This window comes from Homo sapiens, chromosome 2 (assembly GCF_000001405.40).
Source record: "Homo sapiens chromosome 2, GRCh38.p14 Primary Assembly".
Taxonomy (NCBI): Eukaryota; Metazoa; Chordata; class Mammalia; order Primates; family Hominidae; genus Homo; species Homo sapiens.
In genome coordinates this window covers 32,545,863-32,556,740 of record NC_000002.12, presented here as the reverse complement: position 1 = coordinate 32,556,740, position 10,878 = coordinate 32,545,863, and the positions used below count along the sequence as shown (strand labels likewise).

General features: G+C 35.1%; 1 protein-coding gene across 50 annotated transcripts in view; it reads right to left on the bottom strand.

Moving 5' to 3' along the window:
- The window catches only part of BIRC6 (baculoviral IAP repeat containing 6), a 261,856-nt gene that overhangs the window by 62,138 nt on the left and 188,840 nt on the right, over positions 1 to 10,878 (bottom strand). For all 50 annotated transcript variants that reach the window (XM_006712055.4, XM_005264451.5, XM_047445167.1 and 47 more), the window contains 2 exons: positions 8,727 to 8,891; positions 7,260 to 7,428 (listed from right to left, as the gene is read on the bottom strand). In XM_006712055.4, the coding sequence (XP_006712118.1) occupies positions 7,260 to 7,428; positions 8,727 to 8,891 (334 nt within the window). The remainder of the gene's footprint in view (positions 1 to 7,259; positions 7,429 to 8,726; positions 8,892 to 10,878) is intronic.

Sequence of the window (10,878 nt, the reverse complement as noted above, 5' to 3'; positions counted from 1 at the left end):
CTGACCTCAGGTGATCCACCCACCTCGGCCTCTCAAAGAGCTGGGATTACAGGCTTGAGCCACCGAGCCTGGCCTGTAGGACTTTTTTAAAGCATTTCATGATTTACCATAAAAACATCTAGTTTGCAAAACAATTATATAGCGGAAATACAACTGGCATAAACAAATCTGGAAACAAACACAGCTCACTCTTAACTGGGATGTTTCATAGAAGAAATGGAGAGTTATGGCTAATCTGGTAGGTAGTTATGTGGAAATCTGATTAAGCTTTTCTTAATAGCTGGACTACAGTGTGAAAGGTGACAATATAAGGATTAGGTACGTGAGCAGCTCATAGGAGAGAAAGGACTACGCTGGGTAGTCAAGAATGGTATCCCTGAAGTGTCTGAGATGTGAACTAATACTTTAACTTTACAAATCTGTACAAATCAAAGCAATTCAAAACCCATCTAAATTTTAATTTAAGCAACCTGTCCTCCCCTTATAAAACTTACCAGTCATAATTATTTAACACAGAGTCATATATTCTATACCAAAGTCATTTCCACATTGGATGCCCTTGACAAAAATGAAAACTCTAAATAAAAGGAATTAACATTTGTTGATAAGCACTTACGTTATAGATACTCTGAGTCGCTATCAACATGCCTTGCTAGTGACCATATATAGAAATAAATACATTAAACATAGGCAAGTGTTTTAATTTTTATTGGTACTGCTCAGCTAACTGTCACAAAAACTAGAGCCATATTAAAATACTATTAAAATATACTTTGGGCTAAAAATAAAGTGGCAGGTTACTCTACCTTTTTTTTTTTTTTTTTTTGAGATAGGGTCTACTCTGACACCCAGGCTGGAGTGTAGTGGTATGATCACGGCTCACTGCAGCCTCGCCCTCCTGGGATCCCACTTCCCGAGTAGTTGGGACTACAGGCGAGTGTTGATTTTTTGTTCTTTTGTAGAGACAGGGTCTAAGTTGCCCAGGCTGGTGATCCTCACGCTTCAGCCTCCCAAAGTGCTGGGATTGCAGATGTGAGCCACCACACCTGGCCTGCTACTCTAATTAGTAGAATAATCTGATAGATTATTTTATTTTTATTTTTTTATTTTTTTGAGATGGAGTCTTGCTCTGTCGCCCAGGCTGGAGTGTTGTGGCTCACTGCAACCTCGGCCTCTGGGGTTTCAAGCGATTCTCCTGCCTCAGCCTCCTGAGTAGCTGGGATTACAGGCATGCGCCACCACACCCGGCTATTTTTGTATTTTTAGTAGAGACGGGGTTTCACCGTGTTGGTCAGGCTGGGCTCGATGTCCCGACCTCATGATCTGCCCGGGTCGGCCTCCCAAAGTGCTGGGATTATAGGCTTGAGCCACTTCACCCGGCCTATTTTAGTTTTTAATAGAGATGAAGTCTCACTGTGTTGCCAAGGCTGATCTCAAACTCGTGGGCATAAGCAATCCTCTCATCTTGGCCTCCCAAAGGGATTACAGGCATGAACCACCACCACAGCTCCCAGACTCTTTATTAAAACAGTACAAAGAAATGGCATAATTTGACAGTTTCATATGAACTATTACCATGAAAACTATAAATAAGGATATACAGTTAAGTATCATGTTACGACAGCTCGACAATTTTTCATTATTTGTTTCTCAGGCAGTGTATATCAACAAAATAAAGTATTTTTATAAATAATAAAAATTATGTATTTTCTATTGGTATCAAACCTTATCTTTTCCTGTAAGAGCACTAATACAATTTCTATGTCCTTTTTAATTTGGAGAGCCCTGAGACCTAGCAAGATGGCTAGGTTTCCAACTGCACATTTACTTTGATGTAACTACTAAGTAATTCAAATTTAATAAATATGGTCATATTTAAATTAAGATATTTGTCGTGACAACAGAATTAACCTTATTCTCAAACAGTATACTTATGAAATTAAATACCTACTCTTAAAGAAACATATCCAAAGGTAACATAAAGTAAAAAAAAAAGAGCTTTAAACATACAAAATACACTGTGAGAAAAATCAGATGGTATATCAAAATGCAGTAATGGGTTTTGACACATTATAGTTTGTTATAAAACTGTCAAACCAATATTAGGGAAATTAAAAATTTTAATCCTAGTATATAACATCATTTAACTAAGATAACCAGCCAATTCAGTAGATACTTTATAATTTTCCCAATGAAGTCCTGTGCCTGCTCTCTCATGTCTACCTTACTCTAACACATCACTTACTCATTTTTATTTTTCATAATGACAAAATCCATTTATATCTTGCTTTTCAACTTGAAAATAAGTGAGTTTAATAATCACCACGTTACTAACCAGTTAAACTTGAGCAACTGAATACATTTCTCTAGATTTCATTTGTTCTTTTCTAATCTGTGAATTGTCAGATTAACCCAGATAACAGCAATTTCCCTTGATAATCTGAAAGAATATTCATCCCCATATAATAAGACCACTATTAAAAAGGTAAAGATTTATTTCAATAAGAATTTGTAGCATACCCCACTAAGTTAATGGCAAATAATTTAATGTGTGCTGAGACTTAATATGCTCTCTTCTCAAAAAAGGAACATACTATTTTCTAAAATAGGTGAGGGTCTCTAAAGTAACATTCTGCCTGTTAACATTAACATGTGAATATTACCAAATACTTCTTAAAATGAAACAGGATCTCCATCTAGTGGCCAGAGGGGTAACTCCATACTATACAAGGGCTAGAGAAAAAATGATTGTGGCCTACAAAACGCAACTTTCAGAATACCATTTCTTATGAAAAGTGGAAGTGAAAATGTTGAGAAAGAAATTAAAATGAACAAATAATATATTTTCCTATCTAGAACACTAACAGATGTCTTTATTTTAGTAAGCAATAAGAAACAAATTATTAAAGCATCAAACTTACTATTTTGAGTAACTGGAACCATAATGTTAACCTTTGATAAATCTGATTAATTTAGCCTAAATATGAAGATTTATGTTTCTGCTGTAATGCCACCAAACGCTTTTTTTTAAAGTCTCCATTCATTTACAGGCTGGGTTGTGGCTCATGCCTGTCTGTAATCCCACCACTTTGGGAGGCCGAGGTGAGCGGATCACTTGAGGTCAGGAGTTCGAGACCGGCCTGGCCAACGTGGTGAAACCCTGTCTTTACTCAAAATACAAAAAAAATTAGCAGGGTGGGTGGCGGGTGCCTGCAGTCCCAGCTACTCGGGTGGCTGAGGCATGAGAACTGCTTGAACCCGAGAGGCGGAGGTTGCTGTGAGCCAAGATCATATCACTGCACTCCAGCCTGGGCGACAGAATGAGACTCTGTCTCAAAAATAAAATAAAAAAATAAGTCTCCATTCATTTACGTATCTAAATTTTCCTCTCCACCCATTTTAAGATCTACAAAAAGAGGTCAAAAGAGTAGGAAAACTACTGTTAGTCACAAAAATCTTTTGCTAGAAACAGTAAATTCAAAAAGATGAAATATCAGGAATTTATCTTTTTTTTTTTTTTTTTTTTTTTTTTTTTTTTTTTTTGAGACAGAGTTTCACTCTTGTCACCCAGGCTGGAGTGCAGTGGTGCCATCTCGGCTCACCGCAACCTCCCCCTCCTGGGTTCAAGCGATTCTCCTGCCTCAGCCTCCCAAGTAGCTGGGATTACAGGCATGTGCCACCACATCTGGCTAATTTTGTTTTTTGTTTGTTTTTTTTTTTTAGTAGAGATAAAATGATGTAACTTATAGTCAGTAGGTTAAACGGTAGCATGCCTCCTAAATGATATTAAATATGGATTGTTTTCAGGAAAACACAGCTTAATATAAGCATATAAGTACATATATAATTAAGTAAACATAAATATAAATATATAAATATATAATTAGTTATCAGTTTTGGTTAGAATAGTAATAATTTTTTAAGTGGCTACTATTTATTTATTTGAGACAGGGTTTCCCTCTGTCACCCATGCTGGAATGCAGTGGCACGATCTTGGCTTACTGCAACCTCCACCTCTCATGCAAGTAAAAAGTTCTTACGCAATTATTTAATGACTAAATACAATATACTTAATGATTAAATCACTAAACATAATCAGTGCCTACCTCTGGAGAATAGGATCGGTGTCTCAGTTACAGAATTGTGACAAGTTAGTAATGGAAAAAAGGTTGTCCTTTCCTCTAAGGAGCTTATATGCTCCCTCTATTCTGGTAATAATTTTACAACTAACAATATTCTCTTTTTACCTTTGATGCAAAGATGTTCAGAACTAAAACTGAAGATCAATTTTATGTGCAATTATTGTTGATCCTTATGGTCAGCTTAGTATTATCATTTAATATGTTCAGGCCAGTTTTTAAACTTCTATTGAAATAAAACAGACTTAGCTAACCAGCTACATAGTAAACTCATTAATATGAGAACTTGAAGGTTTTATTAAAATGAGGAGCAGACTCTGGTATTCATCTCAATCTTTAACAGTCATTAAACATTAAAGTTTAAAGATTACAAAGTATCTAACGTATACCTGTAGCCAAAAAATAAGGGCAAAAAGGGTGTGGGACAGTAATAAGAAACCACAATTGACATTTAAAATTAATGGCAGACCAATCTCTGCACTGAAAGGAAGGCATAAACTAGTGTGTTCCTATATTTTCTTGTCTTGCTCACCAATCATTTAAAAACATGTTATAGAAAGAAAATGTGCATTATTTTACTAAAGTTCTCAGAAAAGGCTATTATGTTAGGCCTGCGTTTTTTTATATCATCTGCTAGCAATATAAGCAAATCATCCCTTGAATACAATGTCTCAGGCAAAATTATGAGGACTACTCTCACACTTACAAACCAATCTGTAGAATATTCTATAAAATAAATGGTTACATTCTGTAAAAATATCAGTATTATGAAAGATAAAGATAGGCTAGGAACTCTTCCAGATTACAGAAGAAAAGGACATGACAACTAAATGTAGTAAAAAATGGTGGAGTGGATCCTATCACATTACCTCAACTCCCACATTGCCAAAAATAATACTATATACGCAAATGAAAAAATTGGAAAATAAACTTTAGACTAATTTTCCAAAATAGAAATTTTACTAAGTCTAAGGAAGACTCTGGCTAGATAATTTGTTCAGGTTTTTAAATGCCACTTAAGGCAGGGTGTGTTGGCTCAGGTCTCTAATTCCAGCACTTTTGGAGGCCAAGGTGGGCAGATCACATGGGGCCAGGATTTGAGACCAGCCTGGCTAACATGGTGAAACCCCATCTCTACCAAAAATACAAAAATTAGCCGGGCATGCTGCTGTATGTCTGTAATCCCACCTACTCAGGAGGCTGAGGCAGGAGAATTGCTTGAACCTGAGAGGTGGAGGTTGCAGTAAGCCAAGATCGTGCCACTGCATTCCAGCATGGGTGACAGAGGGAAACCCTGTCTCAAATAAATAAATAGTAGCCACTTAAAAAATTATTACTATTCTAACCAAAACTGATAACTAATTATATATTTATATATTTATATTTATGTTTACTTAATTATATATGTACTTATATACTTATATTAAGCTGTGTTTTCCTGAAAACAATCCATATTTAATATCATTTAGGAGGCATGCTACCGTTTAACCTACTGACTATAAGTTACATCATTTTATCTTAATATAAGGTATTATCTCAAAATAAGTATTTGTTACCACATCCAAATATATCAATTAGAATTAACCACTGGACAAGTTACCAAATTCAAGAACATCTAAAGCCTGATGAAAGAAATTTCTTTTTTCCAGGAAAATAATACATCATAAAAGAAAGGTCAAACTTCGATCTGTCACATTAAATTTCTAAAACAGTTCCAAGGTATAATATCTAAGTCTCTGCAATTCCATACATTTACCAAAAATCAGTTTAACATACACACCTTCCCAGGAAGTGCACTTACATGAACAACAATTACTGTAAATATTATGTAAATAATCCTGGATTTCCTTTTTGACAATGAACCATAAAGATAAAAGCTCAGTGTTATAAGAGAGTCAATTTCAGACCAAAACAGAAATTTAAAATTTTTGGTAGGTCATATCTTCACAGTATAAGGATTAAGAAAATAATAGTTTAATAATAGAGAAGTGAGATAAAAAGAAACCTATCGCACCCTATTCAATTGTTCTATATAATCTAAAATTAAAATGTATAGTCTCAAACATTTTAATAAAAAAAAATTATGCATTTGACATCTACTTTTTAAAAAAGACCAGTCTGATGTATCAAACAGGTCAATCTAAACAAACAAAAAAATCAATCTAATACTTCCATGAAGGAGTCTGAGACAGACTGGGAAATAGCGTATTTTTAAAGGACAACAATCTTCCTGATACTGGGGAATACGGGCAATAATCCCTTGAAATACTAATATTTTTACCAGACATCCAACTGTGTCACTTAGCTGCTACCAACCACAAAATAGACTACCAAGATTCATTTCCATTGTTTCCCTTATCTATTCTTCCTTAATAAATTAATGAAATATACATGTAAATTTTCATAAGAAGATAAAGACAGAGATAAGAATATGAGTAAAACAGAGTTGAAACAATAAATAATAAAGGTTTTGGCTGAAAGAAATAGATGTTAACTGCTTGTTTCTCTTGGAAATATCTATACATTTCTGAACATGTAACTTTCTATTCTTAGGAAAAGAACACATTTCTTAGATAATTCCATAACCAAGGAAATAATAAACTATATTATTCAATCAATAATCAGTTGTATACTGGCAAAACAAGTAGCTACAGTACTTTTATTATTGAATTTTAAGAAATTAATCATCATCTTATCAAGTACCTATGGACTTGATTCATGTATCTGCCTTTCTTCAAAAATAACTGTTGTCTGCGATAGTGTTTGACAAAAATATTTAAAATCCATAGAAATTTGACCATATTCAGATCAGAATGATGTCATGAAGTTGTTAGCCTTTGTCCTATCATTTTCAGTTACAGATGATTAAAAGGAAAAAAAGTTTACTTTCACCTTTCACAGATAAAGACAAAGGAATAATGAAACTTTTATTATTCTGTGTTCTATGGTAAGTGATGACAAAGTATCAAATTAAGGGCACCAAAAACCAACTAAATATTTCCAGAATACTTTTTAGGAAATAAATCCATCAACTATTTCAACTGAAACTTACTATTAGACAATGATAAAATAAGCAAACAAAATTATTCATCCACAGACACATTTACAGGGATTATTTACCTGAATCATTTCGTAGATAAGATGACATGGCTGGGATGAGGCAGGACTGACTGAGAAGCTCGAGAAGTACAGAAGGAAGGGCATTACTGTTCTGCCCTCTAGTCTCATGAGATGACTGAGCTTCTCCATTTACCGCACTACTGACGGGATTTATGTAACTGGCAAGAACCTAAAAATTGTTGAAATTAATTTGGATTTCAGTTTCACATACTTCAAAAGTTTTTATTGTAGGTTAGAAATTCAATCTGAATACTAAGAGTACATATTTTCTACTTAATCAGTATCTTATACTATGTTTTAAAATAATTATTTGTTTAAATTTTCAAAAGAGAAGGATCTGTTTTGTCTGAGAGTGTTGCTTACAAAGGATGGTACACTACATATGACTAGACATATAAAAGCAATACAACTACGAACATAAAAAATGTAGTAGCAACTCTGTATTATTTACATATTTTATTGAATAGACTCAATTCACAGTTTGAAGGTAACAAAATCTTAGAACTTTATACTAGAAGGAGCATTCTAGAGTTGCAGAAGACACATTCAAAGCACTGACGAACTTCAATTAGCTGATGCAGGAAGCAAAGCTAACCTTTTCATTATTTCCCCTATACATTTCTGTGGTATAAAGACTTTCTATTCTTGTCCAACTTGCCTGAATCTAGAAAAGTTATTTATTTATCTATTCATTTTTTTGAGACCGAGTTTCACTCTTATCGCCCAGGCTGGAGTGCAATGGTGCAATCTTGGCTCGCTGCGACCTCTGCCTCCCGGGTTTAAGTGATTCTCCTGCCTCAGCCTCCTGAGTAGCTGGGATTACAGGCATGTGCCACCAAGCCCAGCTAATCTTTCTATTTATTAGTAGAGGCAGGTTTCACCATGTTTGCCAGGCTGGTCTCAAACTCCTGACCTCAGGTGATCCACCCACCTCAGCCTCTCAAAGTGCTGGGATAACAGGCATGAGCCACCACGCCCGGCTGAAAAGTTATTTTAAAAAATGTAAGCAACCGTGAACCTGGGAGGTGAAGGTTGCAGTGAGCTGAGATCACGCCACTGCACTCCAGCCTGGGCCACAGAGTGAGCTCCGTCTCAAAAAAAAAAAAAAAAAAAAAAGTAAGCAACCAAAATGCATATAAATAAATAACACTTAAAAAAAAAAAAAAGGCCAGATACAACACATTAAACAAGAAAATGCCTGTAGGAAGATGCATCTTCCAGCTACTGGATAATTTCATCCCTGCCACTTTCCTCTCAGTGAAGAAGCTAGTTGAGAGGGAAGAAATACAGAGTCACAAGTAAGCAAGAACAATCTTTATCCAGTGGTATCTTAGAATGCACTGGGAAGAAGGACCACAAGTGGGCATAAACATAGCTGAGGAAAGTTGGATTAGTTATCAATATTTTAAAATAATAAATACAAAAAAAAAGCCATTATCATGAACAATATCAAGTTTACAAATATACCTGCAGAAGGCAGGTAACATGTTCCTCTTCCAGCCTTTGCTTAGTTAAGGCTTGTTCCACATCCCACCCAGAAGCTGTAGAGCCTGTTCCAAAGCCAGTCCCTTTGGCCCAATATAACTGTTGTTCTTCTGTTGATGTAGGGTTATGAGAGCTTGACACCTGTGGCTTAAAATAACAAAAAATGAAAATCCATTACAATTTGTTTTTGCTTATCTTCAAAAATATTTATCACTGGGAAAGTAAAATGATGAAGCTACTATGGAAAACAGTTTGGTGGCTGCTCAAAAAAATTGAACACAGATTTTCTGTATGACCCAGCAATTCTACTTCTAGTATTAAAACAGATAAAAACTGGTGCTGAAATAGACACACACGTTTACAGCAGCACCATTTAAAACAAAAGATGAAAATAGCCTAGATGCCAACCGATGAATGGATCAACAAACAGGATATTTATTGAGCCATAAGAAGAAATGAAGTACTGATATACGCTACACGAATAAACCTAGAAAACATTATACTAAATGAAAGAAGACAGACGCAAGGAACAACACATTACATGATTCAATTTATATGCAATATCCAAAATAGGTAAATGCATGGAGACAGAATGCAGACTGGTAATTGCCAGGGGCTGGGGGAAGGGGTAAATGGAGAGAAACTGCTTATATTTAAGAATGAATGAATCAATAAACACATAAATAAATACAAATTTTCAAATATTTATCAAGAAAAGAAGGGATAAACCACCTTAGAGCCTAAAAAGTCAATGACTCAAAATTGAATTGAGAAAACAGTGAAAAGAATACAGATATGAGCAGATCTTTTTAGGATAAATATAGCAAAAGGATATCTCAGCTATTCCTGACCCTTTGCATGTTTATATACATTTTATAATTGGCTTGTAAACTTCCTCCAAAATGAATCTGGAATTGTATCAAACTTAAGGATTGATCTGGGAAGAAATAATATTATTGCACTATCATATCTAACCCACTGAAGATATACATGAGCACAGACAGATTCACCTGCCTCAGCCTCCCAAGTAGCTAGGAATATAGGTGTGAGCCACCAGGCCCGGCTAATTTTTGTAATTTTAATAGAGATAGAGTTTCACTATGCTGGCCAGGGTGGTGTCGAAATTCTGACCTTAAGTGATCTGCCTGCCTCTATGTCCCAAAGTGCTGGGATTACAAACATGAGCTACCATGCCCAGTCAAAAATTTCATAAAGAGGTATTATACATATTTTTCAGATTTACTCTTAGATATTTTCTATTTTTGGTACTATTCTAAAATATATCTTTATAAAGCTCATTTTATGTCTGTTGCTAGTATGTAGAAATTAACTAATTTTTATAGACTGACCCCATGATGTATTATTAATAAACTCACTTATGCCATTAATTATTTTGGTATTTTTTTTTTTCTTTTTGAGACACAGTTTCACTCTTGTCGCCCAGTCTGGAGTGCAATGGCACAATCTTGGCTCACTGCAACTTCCGCCTCCTGGGTTCAAGTGATTCTCTTGCCTCAGCCTCCCGAGTAGCTGGGATTACAGGCACACGCCACCATGTCCGGCAAATTTTTGCATTTTTAGTAGAGACAGGGTTTCAGCATGTTAGCCAGGCTAGTCTCGAACTCCTGACCTCAGGCTATCCACCCACCTCAACCTCCCAAAGTGCTGGGATTACAGGCATGAGCCACCTCACCTAGCCTATTCTGGTATGTTCTACAATACAATTAAATCATATTGAAATAATGAGGAATTTTTTTCTTTCTTTCTTGAATTTCCTGTCTTATTGCACTGGCTAGATCCCCACCCACAACCCCCATTCTATAGTATTATTCTTAAAAGTTCAAAAAGGAAAGGAAGAAGGATCACAGTATAAATTCAGTGTATCTTGGTAAATGGGAAAGCTTATTAAGCGCTTAAATCTTTTCTGCTTTTCAAGTAGATAGGTTTCTTTTTGGTTTACTGAAGAAGACTAATAGAGAAAACAATTAATTTACAATTTCTGTTTTAAATATCCTTTTAGATGTGAAAATGGAACACCCAAGTCTCTGAAAGATTAATTCAGAAAAAAACTTTATTCTGTACTCCCTAATTAAATCTAGTTTTTTTAATAACTGAAATAATTAAAAGTGAACCT